The 16,287-nt window shown below is 48.0% G+C and overlaps 3 protein-coding genes across 20 annotated transcripts in view, besides 7 other annotated features; 1 reads left to right on the forward strand and 2 right to left on the reverse strand.

Annotated features, from left to right (window-relative positions):
- The window catches only part of ACIN1 (apoptotic chromatin condensation inducer 1), a 37,051-nt gene extending 36,293 nt beyond the window's left edge, over nt 1-758 (reverse strand). For 12 of the 16 annotated variants that reach the window (XM_047431115.1, XM_047431113.1, XM_047431114.1 and 9 more), the window contains exon 1: nt 119-758. In XM_047431115.1, the coding sequence (XP_047287071.1) occupies nt 119-430 (312 nt within the window). In that variant the 5' untranslated portion in view covers nt 431-758. The remainder of the gene's footprint in view (nt 1-118) is intronic. The other 4 variants (NM_001164815.2, NM_001164814.2, NM_014977.4 and 1 more) reach the window with 2 other exon arrangements.
- Nucleotides 21-330: an enhancer, noted in NCBI's record as "active region_8162". NCBI's record gives its function as "activates an Ori minimal core promoter by ATAC-STARR-seq in GM12878 lymphoblastoid cells {active_cell/tissue: GM12878}" and the evidence as "EXISTENCE:reporter gene assay evidence [ECO:0000049][PMID:35858748]".
- Nucleotides 21-1,083: a biological region, named in NCBI's record as "hESC enhancers GRCh37_chr14:23564101-23564624 and GRCh37_chr14:23564625-23565148".
- Nucleotides 36-559: an enhancer, noted in NCBI's record as "NANOG-H3K27ac-H3K4me1 hESC enhancer chr14:23564101-23564624 (GRCh37/hg19 assembly coordinates)". NCBI's record gives its function as "activates a minimal SCP1, AML or CMV promoter by ChIP-STARR-seq in primed H9 embryonic stem cells {active_cell/tissue: H9 hESC(primed)}" and the evidence as "EXISTENCE:reporter gene assay evidence [ECO:0000049][PMID:30033119]".
- Nucleotides 371-450: an enhancer, noted in NCBI's record as "active region_8163". NCBI's record gives its function as "activates an Ori minimal core promoter by ATAC-STARR-seq in GM12878 lymphoblastoid cells {active_cell/tissue: GM12878}" and the evidence as "EXISTENCE:reporter gene assay evidence [ECO:0000049][PMID:35858748]".
- Nucleotides 471-680: an enhancer, noted in NCBI's record as "active region_8164". NCBI's record gives its function as "activates an Ori minimal core promoter by ATAC-STARR-seq in GM12878 lymphoblastoid cells {active_cell/tissue: GM12878}" and the evidence as "EXISTENCE:reporter gene assay evidence [ECO:0000049][PMID:35858748]".
- Nucleotides 560-1,083: an enhancer, noted in NCBI's record as "H3K27ac hESC enhancer chr14:23564625-23565148 (GRCh37/hg19 assembly coordinates)". NCBI's record gives its function as "activates a minimal SCP1, AML or CMV promoter by ChIP-STARR-seq in primed H9 embryonic stem cells {active_cell/tissue: H9 hESC(primed)}" and the evidence as "EXISTENCE:reporter gene assay evidence [ECO:0000049][PMID:30033119]".
- Nucleotides 649-5,600, forward strand: C14orf119 (chromosome 14 open reading frame 119). 2 transcript variants are annotated; one of them, NM_017924.4, is made up of 2 exons: nt 649-763; nt 2,802-5,600. In NM_017924.4, exon 2 carries the CDS (start codon nt 2,803-2,805, stop codon nt 3,223-3,225), a length of 423 nt encoding a protein of 140 aa, NP_060394.1. In that variant the 5' UTR covers nt 649-763; nt 2,802; the 3' UTR covers nt 3,226-5,600. The 2 variants fall into 2 exon arrangements, with proteins under 2 accessions (NP_060394.1, XP_016876879.1); XM_017021390.3 differs by lacking the exon at nt 649-763 and adding an exon at nt 777-1,094.
- On the reverse strand, nt 4,206-10,133 carry CIROP (ciliated left-right organizer metallopeptidase). Of its 2 annotated transcripts, NM_001354640.2 has the most exons (16): nt 9,743-10,133; nt 9,529-9,613; nt 9,387-9,438; nt 8,819-8,962; nt 8,615-8,692; nt 8,431-8,526; nt 8,070-8,195; nt 7,773-7,857; nt 7,488-7,633; nt 7,236-7,410; nt 6,986-7,055; nt 6,813-6,909; nt 6,436-6,708; nt 5,994-6,223; nt 5,646-5,825; nt 4,206-4,633 (listed from the first exon to the last, which is right to left on the reverse strand). In NM_001354640.2, the coding sequence occupies exons 1-16, from the start codon at nt 10,062-10,064 to the stop codon at nt 4,426-4,428; spliced, it is 2,367 nt and encodes a 788-aa protein (NP_001341569.1). In that variant the 5' UTR covers nt 10,065-10,133; the 3' UTR covers nt 4,206-4,425. The 2 variants fall into 2 exon arrangements, with proteins under 2 accessions (NP_001341569.1, NP_001389356.1); NM_001402427.1 differs by lacking the exons at nt 8,431-8,526; nt 8,615-8,692 and having other exon boundaries at nt 9,529-9,622.
- Nucleotides 11,404-11,698: a silencer, noted in NCBI's record as "tiled region #2207; K562 Repressive non-DNase unmatched - State 7:EnhWF". NCBI's record gives its function as "represses a minimal TATA promoter and a strong SV40 promoter by Sharpr-MPRA in K562 cells {active_cell/tissue: K562}" and the evidence as "EXISTENCE:reporter gene assay evidence [ECO:0000049][PMID:27701403]".

Consider the following 16,287-nt stretch of genomic DNA (forward strand, 5'->3'; position numbering starts at 1 on the left):
CGCGCTGGCGGCCTGAGCGAGCTCGCGCCGAGCCCGGATACTGCGCCTGCGCCGCGGCAGAGGCTCGTCTCTACCGGGTCCGCTCTCCTCCGACACCCCAGCAACGCCGACTCCTCACCCCTTTGAGCCGCTTGACCAGGGCACTCTTCTGCCCGCTCTTGGCTAGGCCTCGCTGCTCCAGTGCGGCCTTCAGGTCGGTCACCCGCAGCGCCTGAAGAGGCTTCCCGTCCAGAGTCACCTCCTCCAGCTCCGCCATCTTGCGTGAGGTACTCGGGTCCGTCCCGACGGCTTCGGGCATCTTCGGTAATTTCCGCCAACGCCCTTCGAACGTACCGAGATGACCCCGCCCACTGCCATACTCTACCCCTCGATTACCACTCAGAACTCCCCGGGTTCCTCCGGATGTCCTCGGATGTTTCCGTCTCCACATCGTTACCAATCAATTCTTTCCATCCGCCCTGCAGCGCCCCTTTTCTCGCCCTGCTTTCAGGCTCGGTTTTCTTCGTCTTGCCGAAGCTTTGAATCGAATATATTCGGAAACCCTCGACCCTGGTATAACCATAATCGGAGATGTTCGTTTATTTCCGGACCTAGAGATGAGGCGCTGGGGCGCTTGGGTGTTTGGGGCGGGTCCGAGGCCGGAAGTGCGTGGGCTGCCGGGCTGGCCCAGCTTAGGGTTTTCAGGAAATTTGGAAGCTGCCGCAGTAGTTGGAGTCTAAGGACTCGTGACAATCTTCGGGTGCCCTTCGAGAGAAAAGGGGAGGTAAGCGGGGTAGAAGTACCTCTATGGGCCGGGTCAGACTCGGTGTTTGCGGATTACCTTAATAGGGCAAGCCCCCCACTCCTTAACGCAAACAGCTTCTGCCCTCTGTCCTCTGAATCATAGCCACTCCCATCTTAGGCTTTTTTTGGGGAGGGGCGGGGGGCTGGTGCGGAATCGGAATAACAAGCTCCGTGGGGGTGCGCAAGAAGCATCGCCGTGTCTTCGGACCCAGACTATGAACTGATCTATGACGCTGAACTTGAGTTTGAGTTTGCCTTGGAAGCCATGTGGCAAGATTCTGGGAAAGTTCTTCCTTGCTCCGCAGAAGAGAGTAAGTTCCCTTGGAGGAACTGCTTCCTGTAGGGCAAGAACTGGAAAATGCAAGCGCCCTGAACTTTTTTGGTACTTGAACTAATATTAATTGTTTAGGGGCTTCTTTCTTTGTCACTACCAATCCTCCAACTTGATGCAGAAGAAACACAAACAGTAAAATAGGTCACAGACAAATAGTTTAGAGATTTAAGAGATACGTTAGAGATTTAAGAGACTGAAAACTATTAAAGTCAAATTGGCTGATCTTTCCGTTGCATTCATGATGCAAAATCAGTGGCAAGGTGCCGGGCGCGGTGGCTTACGCCTATAATCCCAGCACTTTGGGAGGCCGAGGCGGGCGGATCACTTGAGGTCAGGAGTTGGAGACCAGTCTGGCCAATATGGTGAAACCCCGTCTCTACTAAAAATACAAACAAATTAGCCGGGCGTGGTGGCGTACGCCTATAGTCCCAGCTACTCGGGAGGCTGAGGCAGGAGAATCGCTTGAACCCAGGAAGCAGTGGTTGAGATCACGCCATTGCACTACAGCCTGGGTGACAGAGCAAGACTCCGTCTCAAAAAAAAAAAAAAAAAAAAAAAAAATTGCAAGGCACCAATAGATACCATACTAAAAAAAAAAAAAAATTTTTTTTTTGTCACTCCACTCTGGGTCCCTCCACTCTGACGCAGGCTGGAGTGCAGTGGCGCGATCAGGGCTCACTGCAGCCTCAACCTCCCGGGCTCAGGTGATGCTCCTACCTCAGTCTCCTACGTAGCTAGGACTACAGGTAGGCACCTCTACGCTCAACTAATTTTTTTATTTTTTGTAGGGATGAGGTTTTGCCATGTTGCCCAGGCTGGTCTCGAACACCTGGGCTCAAGCGATCCTCTTGCCTCGGCCTCTCAAAGTGCTGAGATTACTTTGGAAGTGCAAGAACCACCGCGTCTGGCCCATACTAAATATTAAGGACAATTGTTTAAAGACATGGATTGTCATAAAATAGTATAACACTTGTTAGATCTCTAAGCCAACAAACCAACTGGACTCTTTTTTAAGAACGTCTCAAACACCCGGGCTTCTGGTTCTTTCATGCGTTACCTTATTTTGAGCAAGGTCCTTACTCTGCTTTTTAACTTTTCCTGGTGCTTTACAGGAAATGTAAGGAGGTAACGGATGTTATGGAGTTGTTGGCATATTTCAGAGGCTTATATGCACATTGAAGGCTCTTTCATCATAAATAATGTTTTTTCTTTCTTCCCCCACTGTTGATAGCTGCAAAACAATTAGCATCAGCCTTGACCAGCTGCACGTACTAGATTTTAAAATGTGTGCATTTTCATTTTGGAGAAGATGTAATGGACCAACATTAATCATTGTTTTTTTCTTTACCCAACCTGGCACATAGAAGTAAGAGGAAGAGAATGAACAAGAAATATATTGGTTATTTTTAGGTTCTTTATAAGAAAGATGGAGGAAGACAGTGGGTGGGGAAGAATGGGTTTGAAAAAGGCAGGCAAATAGGAAATGAAGTTATTTTTGGTGATTTTTCTAAGGTAGTTGGATAATAATCTAAATAAAGGACTCTTATTATTTTGGGTCTTTGAATTCATAAAAAGTAATTTTCTCTGTAGATGCTAATTGAGTGTGGTAAGATGTCTTGTTGCTTGAAAGTTGTATTTTCGTTGCTCTACCTGGAGAGCATATAACAGTGCTTTTATGTTTCAGGATGCCACTGGAGTCATCCTCTTCAATGCCACTATCCTTCCCATCTCTCTTACCCTCAGTACCACACAATACTAACCCTTCCCCTCCTCTGATGTCTTACATCACCTCCCAGGAGATGAAGTGTATTCTTCACTGGTTTGCCAATTGGTCAGGTCCCCAGCGTGAACGTTTCCTAGAGGACCTGGTAGCTAAGGCAGTGCCAGAAAAATTACAACCACTGCTGGATAGTCTGGAGCAGCTTAGTGTGTCTGGGGCAGACCGACCACCTTCTATCTTTGAGTGCCAGCTACATCTTTGGGATCAGTGGTTTCGAGGCTGGGCTGAGCAGGAGCGCAATGAATTTGTCAGACAGCTGGAGTTCAGTGAGCCAGACTTCGTGGCAAAGTTTTACCAAGCAGTGGCTGCTACAGCTGGTAAGGACTGATAGGCATTCAGACCAAAGAAGATAACCATAGCTGATGGAGCCATGACTCTCTACAATGATAACTCAATTCAAATGTGTCGCCTAAAGCTCTGGAACTGGTATTCCAACCAGCTGACCGAACTCACTGACCAGTACAGGCATGGTTATTTCAACATTAATAGCATGTCAACTGGACTCCTATTTGTAAATGTTATCAATCTAAGCAATCCAGCTCATCAGTCTACTAGTTTGCTTCTTTCCGAGAGATGTCAAGTCCTCAAGAATTTGATGGCTTCTTCTGCAGCTATAACCACAAGGAACCTACACATTGTAACTCAAGTCCACTGCTGGCTCATGAAATGTGTAAAGTAGAACCCTCCTTCCCGAGAAATAAGACAGGACAATAAAAGGTGGCGTTTTTGTACTTTACCTGGATTCCATTGGCTGGTTTTACCACTCCTATCAGATTGTAGTGTAATTGTGTGATACGCAAACCATTAGTTTTCCCAGTGATGATTTAATAAAATTATGAAAAATCAGGAGAGGGAGATAATTAGTTGCTTCCTCCTTCACACTGTTTGAATCGAACTCGCGGTGACTTTTTTTTTTTTTTAAAAACATGGGTTGTCACTTAAGTTTGGAGTGCAGTGGCATGATCATCAGTGAGCGTGAGATCACTGTAACCTCAAATTCTAGGCTGAAGTAATCTTTCTGCCTCAGTCTCCTGAGTATCTAGGACTACAGGCCCGCACAACAATATCTGGCTAATTTTTAAATTATTCTGTAGATACAGGGGTCATGCTACGTTTTCTAGTCTGGTCTTGAACTGCTGGCCTCAAGCGATCCATTCTCACCTTGGCCTCCCAAAGTGCTGGGATTACAGGCATGAACCATCATACCTGGCCTTTTTCTAAGGCATATGTATGTGATATTCTTGGAACTGGTAGCAGGTGTTCCTATTCTGTAAGTTTGCTTTACAACAATACGAAAATAAGTGACAATTTACAGGTTGAACAATTTATTTTTGTACCAAAATAAAGAATGGATCTTTAGAACTGTAAAACTTCACCCTTTTTTCATTGCCAGGCTATATAATATTGACAACCGGGGAAAGAGGCATTCCAAAGAAAGTAGAAATTAAGTATACACAATAGATTTTCCATCCAGTTGTCTCACAAGAAATTATTCTCTTCCTTACCCCCTGTCATGTTCTGGGCAACATCACACCTCCCTTATTCCTCTAACTGGGACCCTTGTGCTGTGGAGCTCTGGTGAATGGTAAGAGGCAGATGGTCTCACAGGAAGAGTGGCTCTTTTCTGGTAGGCTGTGGTTCCCATTACACCCACCAGGATTAGCAGCATTAGGCAGAGTCCCATGGACAGCCTTAGGTGGGTCATGGAGGGATTATGGTCTGAAGTAACCAGCAACCTAGGAACATAGAAGGTAATATTTGGCATGGAATAATGCCTAGCCTTAGTAGATAAAGCGGCATTACCTTTTTTTTTTTTTTTTTTTGGAGACAAGGTCTTGGTCTGTTGCCCAGGCTGGAGTGCAGTGGTGTGATCTTGGCTCACCGTAATCTCCGCCTCCCAGGCTCAAGCAATTCTCCTGCCTCAACCTTCCGAATAGCTGGGACTACAGGCGCACGCCGCACCACCACGTCTGGCTAAGGGGCTTTACCCTTAAAGATAGAGCTCATGAAGCCCCGCCTCATCCAAGCATTAAGCTAAACAGGAAATCATTAAGAGGGACTATCGAACCTTAAAGTAGAAATAAGATCAAGATCTAAGTCTTCTAGCATCTTATATTATTGGAAGAAGACCTAACTTGGCAGCAAGGGAAGTGGCTTAAGGGAAGAGTCAGTCTATGTTCTTTAGGTAGCTAGACACAATCCCTAACAGTGCTTAAGAAAGGAAGGGGGCTGGGAGTGGTGGCAGTGGCTCCCAGCACTTTGGGAGGCAGAGGCCGGTGGGTTGCTTTAGCTCAGGAGTTGGAGACAAGCCTGGGCAACATGGTGAAACTGTCTCTATCAAAAATACAAAAATTAGCTGGCATGGTGGTGTGCACCTGTAGTCCCAGCTACTTGGGAAGCTGAGGTGGGGGAATCACTTGAGCCTAGGGAGGTCGAGGCCACAGTGAGCTGAGATCACCCCACTGCATTCCAGCCTGGGTGACAGAGCGAGACCCTGTCTCAAAAAAGAAGAAGAAAAAGGTGGGGGGAGGGGACTAAGATCCCTATGTCCTAGAGATGGGGGAATGTGTTATTGTATGGGAGGAGGGAGTCAGGTAGTGACGGGACTGGATGATCGTGTTAGGGATCTTTGTTCTCTGAAACGCAACCCTGTCTAGGACAATATACACGTGAGTGAGTGCTTAATAAATTTAATTTCAAACATCCGGACTCCATGGATTTGAAAGGAAAGTACTTGGAATATCTTACTTGCTGGGTTGTGTGGTAAAGTTGGCTCCTCCATGATACACTTCTAGGGGTTTTTTCTGGAGAGTCAGAGTCAGGGCCTTGTGCAGTGTAGCAACTGAAGGCCCTTGGCAGCCAGGGGACTTCCACATATGCACAGTAAACACCAAGCTAGTGGTAATTGATGGGCCATGGAAATAGCACCTAAATGGACATTTGAATCTTTTAATAGAGATATAGTTCCTGGCAGAGTATATCTCATGAAACAGATGCAGGCTTAAGAGTGGGATGAACAAGTCTTCAGAGGAGAGTCATAAAGTAAAGGACTTAGGGATTCTCCTTGGCCCATTGTATAAATACTCAAGCTTTTACCTGCCAGTGCCGCCTTTGCTCGCCAAAGCCTCCAGTACTGCTTCAGCTAGCCCTTCTTGCTGTTCCTTCCCCAGAGAGTGTCCTGGAGGCCCAGCTAATTCTAAAGAGAGCTGGAATAGTGGATCTGGGGTTGAAAGACTCACAGGTGGGGAAGTAACAGCATTGATATCTTCATTAGTCTGACACAGCCGACCCCGGGGACAGAAGAGAAGACCATAGTACCCAGGTATCTGCAAGGAAATAGGTAGCAGGATATGGTTTTGCCTTACCTGTTCAAGTCTTCCTTCTAAGGAAAATGTATATTCTAGATCAGAGTCATGGACTCAGTGGGTACTTAGGAAAACTGTATGCACATCAAAACAGGTTGGACAGTACCACCATACAAGTATTTCCCGACTTCTTTTTGCCAGTATGCTGCAACTACTACTCTTATGGTACCCACCTGTATAACCTTTCCAGGAAGGCATGGGACCCAAGGCGAGCCCTCCACCTGCACCTTGTAAGCTCCCCTCCCTGTGCATTGATGTAAGTAGCAGCGGCCCATGAGCTCTGCTTCCTTGAGGTGTGGGGTAAGAGAAGGATGCCTGGGCTTATCCCCAGGGAGCAGCTGTGAAGTGAGGTTGGCAAAGAAGCAACGGCTCTGGGGATGGTAGATCTCCCCATGGGGATTATCCACCCCAGCAGGGAATCCGTTTTCCTTCTTCCAGCATTCACTCTGAAGGGCAGGTCAGAAGTAGAATAGTGTTTGTTCTGATGCCTTTGAAGTTGACTGCCTTCCAGACCCACTCAGTTTCATTGTCTGCTCTCTTATCTACTCACCCCATTGGCTAAGGGCTTGTACATGCGGCAGCCTTCCAGCATGGGGTCTGAGGAGCAGCTTCCCTTGTCCAGGTGCAGGTAGTGGCAGCCCAGCCCACTGTGTGGAATGGATGGTAGAGTGACACTAGAATCACTGGCAGCCATACAGTCCCCTAACCACTCAGCACACACACCTGCCAGTACAGAAGAAGTCTGAGGAGCCAGTCCCACATGTGGTCACCAAGCCAAATTCTGGGCCAGATCCTGCTTGACAGATGAGAAGGAAAGAGAGCCCTCAGCAAATGAAGCCCAAACATCCTTCAGCACCAGCTATCCTCACAGCTTCGATTATACATCAGCAACAGACACCCCTCCAGCCTCCCACTTCCCCCAGAGCTGACTTGGGTCATGAGTGCCTCTCTGCAGGTCTCCCTTATTCCTCACCCTGGCCCCACAACAGCTCCTCTGCAGCGCTGTGGTTGACCTGGTACCAGCCTGAGTCTTTGAAGGCAGCGAGGGTGATTGGGTCGAGTCGAGTGCGCTGGGCTCCATCAAAGGTAGCAGTCATTAAAGAACCCTGGAGTAGTCTGGCCTCCCAGTGCGAGGACAGAAGGCCCTCCTGGAGGAGGTGGCAGATGGCTGGTTGTTAGCTGGCTACTCCTTTCTTCCATCACCCCAAGGTGTTCTCATTCTCACCTCTTCTTCCAAGGGAACACCCAGGGAAGCCCCCGACACTCCCAAGTGTTTGGCCAGGCTGAGGCTAACAGCTGGGGTGGTGAGAAGCAGTTGTCCCCACTCATCTTGCCTTGTCACTAGTTGCCTTGTAGAACAGTTCTCTCTAACTGCAGAAAGGGAAGAAGGCAGTACGAGGAGAGGAAAACTTAGGAAGGGTGAAGTAAAATTAGAAGGAAGGACGTTATGAGATAGTGAATTTCCTCTGGTTGATGGTGGAAAGTCCTTAACCTCATTCCTCTCATTTACCACTGAATCCTGAGGGGCAGTCTCGCCATTTCTTGAAGAGCTGTCCAGAGAAACCCAAGGCATGGAGCAATTCATGTAATGTGGCCTAAGGACAAATGACAGCCCAGTAAGGGGGCCGAATTTGCAGCAGGATTGACCAAACACTCTATAACCCCTCTGCCCAATCAGCTCTTCCTAGAGTTTGAGGCACCTTCTATTCCATCCTCTGTGGGTTCTTTGACTTAATGGGAAACTGAGTAACCTGGCCCCCTACCCTGCAACCTGTTTGCTTCTCCCTATTCATCATGCAGCAGTCACCATGACGATGTCACTGTGGCTGAGGCTGGGGCTGGTGAGATGTTGGGCACAGTAGACAATGGTACCAGCGAGGGGCCTGTCTTCTGAGTCCAGCTGGCAGCAGGCAGCATAGGCTATGACAGAGGGCTGTGGATGGGCCAGGACAGGGTAGGGCCAGAAAGGAGAAAAATAGGGTAGCACAAGTAGAAGAAGTCCTCTGAAAATGGAGGACCAGGGGACTCTGCAGAACTCTGCAGGAGTGGTATCAAGGGATGGCTGTGGGTGGGGGTAGCCTTTACCCAAACGTTACTAGCATTCCCTAAGTTATCCCAAATAAGCACAACTTAATAAAAACTGCTTTTGGCTGGGCATGGTGGCTCACGCCTGTAATCCTGATACTTTGGGAAGCCAAGGTGGGCAGATTGCTTGAGCCCAAGAGTTTGAGACACAGCCTGGGCAACATGACAAAACCCCGTCTCTACAAAAAAAAATACAAAAAATTAGCCGGACATGGTGGTGCATGCCTGTAATCCTAGCTACTCAGGAGGCTGAGATGGGAGGATCACCTGAGCCCAGGAGGTCAAGGCTGCGGTGAGCTGTGATTGGGCCGCTGTACTCCAGCCTGGGCAACAGAGTGAGACTGTCTGAAAACAAAAGCAAAATAAAACAAAACAAAACAAAACAAAACTGCTTTTATGCTCCCTAACCCTCCTCATGAGATTTAAGATTGAGAGAGACAGCAGGGAAAGGAAATTTGATTTGAACTTCACCTCTTGGTGGCACTTGGAAGTGTGAGCAACTCGCACATACAGGAGAAAATCAGTGTTTTGGACCCCAGGCCCATCTGGCTGGACCAGTTGTGGGGGACCCTGCTCCGGCCACAAGGCATAACCGCGAAGATGGGTGTCAGGAATCTGGCAGGGAGTGAAATGTTGCATTAGCAGAGGGGCTGGAACAGTAGGAAATTGGGTATGAGGAGTAGGGGAGAATGAATCTCTTTGGTCTGTCTTTGTGTTATCTAGGCAGCTGGCTAGAATAGAGTTCTGCCCCTTCACCCCCAGTCTCTGATTTAATAAATTTTAGCAGGGAGAGGAGCTCAAGAATCTACATCGTTAAGCACACTAAGTAACTCTGATGGTGGTGGTCTTGGAATGGTCATGGCAGGCTGCAGATCTCCAGATCCCTGAGACTGAGAGGTGAGCCTGCTCAGGATCCTGTCTTCCGTCCCCTTCTTCCCTGGTGTACTTATTTCTGGTTTTCCTCTCTTTACTATCTCTCTGCGTATCCCCCCACCACCCTTATTTTTTCAAGATTTCAGTGTTGTTGACTCAATCTCACCTTTGCCCCCAGGCAACTCTCTCCTTTGTATCCTGGGTTCAAGAGGCTGCACCTATAAGAATGAAGATCTGTAGGTGAGCTGAGGACATTTCTAGGTATCCCTGAAAAAGAATTACATACATTGTCAACGACGTGAACTCACCTGTGGTAGTTTGGGCTATCTGGGTCTCCCCAGACAGCGTGGCAATACTGTGCAGGGTCTCGACTCAGAAGCAGGGGTCCTTGCACTGGAGGGACTTGATAAGAAGTCAGTTTCTCCCATATCTTGGAATTCCAGTTCTCTTTCTGGGCTGATCTTCCTCCCCTGGACCTCTCTGCTCCTCAACCCTCCCTGACACCTCTGTTCCCTCACTCACCTGCTAGAACAGCCTGGATTCGCTGAGTGGCCTCTCTCACTGCGGCCAGGGCTCGGGATCCCCCTCTCATCCCTTCTCCCTCAGGATCCCAAGCTCCATCTGATATATGATCTCCTAGATAGCAGCTTTGGATTCGTAGGGGTTGAGGATCACGGGAGCTAGGGAGGGTGAGGGAGGAAGAGCGAGATTTTGAGGGGAGTTGGGAGAAAGGGGGCCTGAGAAGGCTCACAGACTTCTGTGTCTCATCATGTAGACATCGGCTTGCAGCAACCCTGAGGACTAGTGGCGGCAGCAGCAGCAGCAGCAGCAGCAGCAGCAGCATCTCCCTTCTGTGTCTCTCCGTAGATACAGCCTGGATCCTGTCTTCCGTCCCCTTGTTCCCTGGCTCACTGTTTCTGGCTTTCCTCTCTTTACTATTTTTCACCTATGCCCCCCACTACTCTTGCTTATTTTTTCAAGATTTGAATGTTGTTGACTCAGTCTACAGTTCCCTGCCAGGAGGTTGGATATGAACCACCCTCTTCCAGAGGTGCCAGAGGCAGAGTGCTGGGGGAGGGGAAGTGTTATTCTGAGGCCTCAGCTGACCTTTCCAAAGAGGAGCCTGCCTTATCCATGATGAAACTCTTTCCTTGTTTTTTGTTTGTTTGTTTTGTAGAGATGGAGCCTCTCTATGTTGTCGAGGCTGGTCTCAAACTCCTGGCCTCAAGTGATCCTCCTGCTTCAGCCTCCCCAAGTGCTGAGATTACAGGTGTGAGCCACTGTGTGTGGCTGGGAACTCTTTCCTAATCCTTTCCATCCCTCATCCTATTTCTTGTGCCTTTCTGAGTAGAAAACCTTGGAACCTTCACCGAACTAGAAAACTGGTGTCACCATAATAGGGGAAGTGGGGGACAGAGGTATTCTTTGCTTTGTAGTTGCCTGCTGGCCTCACTGGACATGGCCAAACAAGGCTTCTGCACTTCACTAGCCCCGGTTTCAGAACTGGGTGGCCTCTAACTAAACTACAAGACTTCTAGGATCTCCTACATCTATGTAGGGCTCTTAGTGGGTGCTCAACAAATACATGTTAGTTGACTGACACCTCCTGTAAGAGGCCGTTGTGTTAGGTCTGTTAGGTTTCACAGATGCTGCTTATAGGCATGCAGAGGAGGGAAAATAAACTTTTTTTTTTTTTTTTTTTTGTCTTTTTGAGTTTCGCTCTTCTCACCCAGGCTGGAGTGCAATGGTGCAATCTCGGCTCACCGCAAACTCTGCCTCCTGGGTTCAAGCGATTCTCCTGCCTCAGCCTCCAAAGTAGCTGGGATTACAGGTGCACGCCACCACACCCAGCTAATTTTTTTTGTATTTTTAGTAGAGATGGGGTTTCACTGTGTTGGCCAGGCTGGTCTCAAACTCCTGACCTCAGGTGATCCACCTGCTTCGGGCTCCCAAAGTGCTGGGATTACAGGCGTGAGCCACCGCTGCTGGCCAAGAAACTCTTAAAATGGACATTAATGTTCAAAGATACTCTTAAGGAACTCTGTTTTCTTTGCTCATGCTGTGCTTTCACATCCTGTTTCCCTTGCTTGGATACCCGCCCCCCCGCCCTCCCCCCGCCTCCCCCGGCCTCCCCCGGCCTGCCTGGCTAATTCCTACCTTTCTGGTAATTACCCTTGGAAGCCTTTCTTAATACCCCCAGCCCAAATTCCACACCTGGCACAGTGGGTGGGGAACCACCTCACAGGAGGGGCCTCTCCTCCCAGCTCCTAACAGAACACTGTCATCCTCTGTTATAATTGTTGGCTTAGTGGCTCTCCCTCCACATCCTGAAGTCCTTGAAGGTAAGCCTGCTTCCTGTTGGTCTTTGTGTCCACACCACTCAGCACAGCCCTTCGGGCCTGGTCTTCAGTGTGTGGATGAAGACATAGAACCTAACCCCATTATTTAACTTTTGAAGAAACAGCTGTTTTAGGTAGTATATTTTAATAGCTAATTGGTGACCGACATGGACTAGAGTTTAGAGTAGGGCTGCTGACTTCCCAAGGATTTTATACTTTCACATGCCAGAACTGTGGTTGAAACTACTGATTACAAGGGAGACACCTGTTGGGGCTCAGAAACCGTAACCCAAAATACAGCATTGACATGCTGAACTGAAGAAGAAGCCTCAAGGTCTCTCTGACCATCCTGCCTTACCCCCATACACACACACCCACACCCCTCATCTCTCCCAAAGCACAGGCCCTATCTGCCTAAGATCCAGACTCAACAAGTAAAGCAGTTTTTCCTCTTCTTCCCCTAAGACCAAGAATGTAACCACACCTGGACAGGCCTTTTCACTGTTAGAACTGTTTACAAGTTAATCTCTGTTCCCAGATCCATTCATTCTCCTTAGCAATCATTTATTGCCCCTCAACAGAATTCCTGTTTTTCACCCCTCCTATAACCTGTTTTGCTAGGATCCAAGGCACCATTCTTTCTGTAACCTCAAGATGATATATAAGCTGTACTTCATGGGGGTGGGGTTAGGTCTTCATTCTGGAGGTTCTCATATGTACATGGAGAATTGCTTGAACCCTGGAGGCGGAGGTTGCAGTGAGCCAAGATGGCGCCATTGCACTCCAGCCTGGGCAACAAGAGCAAAACTCCGTCTCTAAATAAATGAATAAATAAATGTGTATGCCTTTTCTCCTATTACTCGATCTGCCTCATGTCTGATTTTTCAGTGACCCTCCAGGGGCCCAGGGTCTTGGCTTTCACGCACCCAAACTCTGGAGGTAAACACTGCCACTTTTTATCTGTAGAAATGTATTTGTAAATTTGATGAAGTGCCCCAGTTTTCCCATCTGTAAAATAGGGGTGACTGTACTTTTGGGGTTGTTGAGAAGTAAGTGAATATTTATAAAGCACTGAGAACAGTGTGTGGTTTATGGTAAATACTAAATAAAAAAATGCATATTATACACAGTGGCTCATGCTTGTAATCCCAGCACTTTGGGAGGCTGAGGTGGGATGATCACTTGAGTCCAGGAGTTTGAGGCCATCCTGGGCAACATAGGGAGACACCCGTCTCTTTTTATTTTATTTTATTTTATTTTATTTTTTATTTTATTTTTATTTATCTTTTTTAGTATTTATTGATCATTCTTGGGTGTTTCTTGGAGAGGGGGATGTGGCAGGGTCATAGGATAATAGTGGAGAGAAGGTCAGCAGATAAACACATGAACAAAGGTCTCTGGTTTTCCTAGGCAGAGGTCCCTGCGGCCTTCCGCAGTGTTTGTGTCCCTGGGTACTTGAGATTAGGGAGTGGTGATGACTCTTAAGGAGCATGCTGCCTTCAAGCATCTGTTTAACAAAGCACATCTTGCACCGCCCTTAATCCATTTAACCCTGAGTGGACACAGCACATGTCTCAGAGAGCACGGGGTTGGGGGTAAGGTTATAGATAAACAGCATCCCAAGGCAGAAGAATTTTTCTTAGTACAGAACAAAATGGAGTCTCCCATGTCTACTTCTTTCTACACAGACACAGTAACAATCTGATCTCTCTTTTCCCCACATTTCCCCCTTTTCTTTTTGACAAAACCGCCATCGTCATCATGGCCCATTATCGATGGTTGCTGTTTCTTCGGAGCTGTTGGGTACACCTGCAGAAAGGCTGTCACTTCACACTTGGAAGATTGCACAGTGGCCAGGCAGAGGCGCTCCTCACTTCCCAGACGGGGTGGCGGACGGGCAGAGGCGGTCCTCACTTCCCAGATGGGGCGGCGGCCGGGCAGAGGCGGTCCTCACTTCCCAGACGGGGTGGCGGCCGGGCAGAGGCACTCCTCACTTCCCAGACGGGGCGGCGGCCGGGCAGAGGCGCTCCTCACTTCCTAGACGGGGTGGTGGCCGGGCAGAGACGCTCCCCACCTCCCAGACGGACACCCATCTCTTAAAAAAGAAAAAAAAAAGAATACATATTGTATACACTGTCAATGCAGAGGAGAACTGTTCTTTTATTATTTACTTAGATTTATTATTATACTATTTTATTTTTTTTTGAGACATGGTCTTGTTCTGTCCCAAGCTGGAGTGCAGTGGCACACTCACAGCTCACTGCAGCCACAACCTCCTGGGCTCAAGCAGTCCTCCCACCCCAGCCACCCGAGTAGCTGGGACTGCAGGTGCGCACCATAGTGACCAGCTAATTTTTGTATTTTTTGTAGAGACAGGGTTTCACCATGTTGCCCAGGCTGGTCTTGAACTCCTGAGCTCAAGTGATCTGCCCACCTTAGCCTCCCAAAGTGCTGCGATCACAGGCGTGAGCCACCATGCCTGGCATATTTTAAAAATTTATTTTTATTTTTGATGTAGGGTCTTGCTCTGTGACCCTGGCTGGAGTTCTGTGGCATGATCGTAGCTCACTGCAGTCTCGAACTCCTGGGCTTAAGCCCTCCTCCTACCTCAGCCTCCTGCAGGTGTGTGCCGCCATGCCTGGCTAATTTTTAAATTTTTTGTAGAGACAGGGTCTTGCTGTGTTTCCCAAGCTGGTCTCGAACTCCTGGCCTGAAGTGATCCTCCAAAGCACTGGGATTACAGATATGAGCCACCACAGCTGGCCTGTTTTTTTATTATCACCATGTGTACAAATCTTTTTTTTTTTTTTTTTTGAGACGGAGTCTCGCTGTGTCGCCCAGGCTGGAGTGCAGTGGCGCGATCATGTGTACAAATCTTTAGAGGACTGTTGTTTTTTCCCTAAGGCAAACCTAGTCTTTTTCTCTAAGTGTCTGAAGTCTTTCTTCCCCCAGATTTCTTAGGTTTTTCTGGCCTAAGTCTGCAGCTCCTAATGCTCTGCTGCTCCCCTGTGGCTGTACTGAGACAGGGTGTGCTCTGGCCACGGTATGGGCTGATCTTAACTTCAAACTTGCGGGTGGAAGAACTTCATGCATTTTAGTAAATCCTTCCTATCTTTTTAAAATTTAGATTTTTAATTTTTTGAGACAGGGTCTCACTTTGTCACCCATGCTCCTGTGCAGTGGTGCGATCATGGCTCACTGCAGCCTCAACCTGGGCTCAAGCGATTCTCCCGCCTCAGTCTCCCAAGTAACTAGGACCACAGGTACATGCCACTATGCCCAGCTAATTTTTAATCTTTCTTCTCTTTACACTGCAAATTCTTCTTCATCTTTCAAGATCCAACCCAGAGGTTATCTGCTGGTTGAGACTTCTTTGCTCCCCCAGGTAGAGATAGTTCTCAAATCTTCTGTTCTCCAATAGCATTTCTTTCACATGTTCGAAGGAGCTCTCTTATTATGTTATCCTGACATTTATTTTTGTATTTTTTTCCCTGCTAGATGGTGGGCAGGGGCTGAGTCTTATTTGTCTCTGCCTCTGTAAAGAGGTATGAAGTAGTTGCAGGACAGTAATGAAGGTAAGAAGATGAAGATGAGGAAGGAGGAAGGAGCAAGGAGGTAGGGAAAGAGTGAGAATAATAGTCACTTTATGGGGCACAGCTTTGTGCCTACATGTTGTTCTAAGCACTTTATTTTATTTTATTGATTGAATGATTGATTGATTGAGACAGAGTCTTGCTCTGTCACCCAGGCTGGAGTGCAGTGGGATGATCCCGGCTCACTGCAACCTCTGCCTTCTGAGTTCAAGTGATTCTCCAGCCTCAGCCCCCCAAGTAGCTGGGATTACAGGCATATGCCACCACACCTGGCTAATTTTAGTATTTTTAGTAGAGATGGGATTTTGCCATATTGCTTGGGCTCGAACTCCTGAGCTCAAAGTGATCCACCTGCCTTGTCTCTCCAATGTGCTGGGATTACAGGCGTGAGCCACCATGCCCAGCCCAAGGGCTTTATACTCATGTAGTTCTTTCAGCCACCTCATGAGGTAGGCATTATCATTATCCCAATTTTACAATCAAGGTACAGCAAAATTAGGCAATGTACATAGGTGGTAAGTGGCAGTATAGGAGTTGAACCGACATAGTTAGGCACCTCAGCACGCGCTTGAACCCACTGTGTAATCCTGCTTCTCCAGTGTGTAGTGATGAGAGGAAGAGGGCAAGGAGAAAAGAAGATGATGAGGAGAGAATGGGGATAAGGAGAGAGGATGGAAGGATAAGAGAGGATGAGATTAGACAAAAGAACAGAAGTTAGAGAGGATGGGAGGATAAGAGAGGATGAGATTAGACAAAAGAACAGAAGTTAGAGAGGATGGGAGGATAAGAGAGGATGAGATTAGACAAAAGAACAGAAGTTAGAGAGGATGGGATGAAGAAGAGGAAAAGGGTGCGGTGGTAGGAAATTAGGGATAAGGAGAGAGGATGTTGATGAGGAACTGGGTGGAGATGACAGAAATATCGACTGTGGAGAGAGGCTGGTAGGAGGAGAGCTGTCGTCCAGGTGGGGTCATCATTCATATGGATGCTCCCCCTGGCAGGCTGGCCTCTCAGCTCCCTCACCCTCTGTCTCTAACAATCTCCTCTATTCCTCCTAGTGAGCCTCTCCCAGGGCCATACCCAGAGCCTTATCACCACCAGAAACTGCAGCACCTATGAAATAACGGAATCAAAC

The sequence above is a fragment of the Homo sapiens genome, chromosome 14 (assembly GCF_000001405.40).
Source record: "Homo sapiens chromosome 14, GRCh38.p14 Primary Assembly".
Lineage (NCBI taxonomy): Eukaryota > Metazoa > Chordata > Mammalia > Primates > Hominidae > Homo > Homo sapiens.

Excerpts from the sequence above, each read along its gene's own strand:
- C14orf119 (NM_017924.4), top strand. The coding sequence starts at position 2,803 with ATGCCACTGGAGTCATCCTCTTCAATGCCACTATCCTTCCCATCTCTC.
- CIROP (NM_001354640.2), bottom strand. The coding sequence starts at position 10,064 with ATGCTGCTGCTGCTGCTGCTGCTGCTGCTGCTGCCGCCACTAGTCCTC. Across the intron at positions 8,963-9,386 it reads AGAGTTGCCTGGGGGCAAAG|ATTCCTGACACCCATCTTCG; the intron begins GTGAGATTGAGT and ends ACTCCCTGCCAG. Across the intron at positions 4,634-5,645 it reads TTTACCACACAACCCAGCAA|GTTGCTGGTTACTTCAGACC; the intron begins GTAAGATATTCC and ends CTATGTTCCTAG.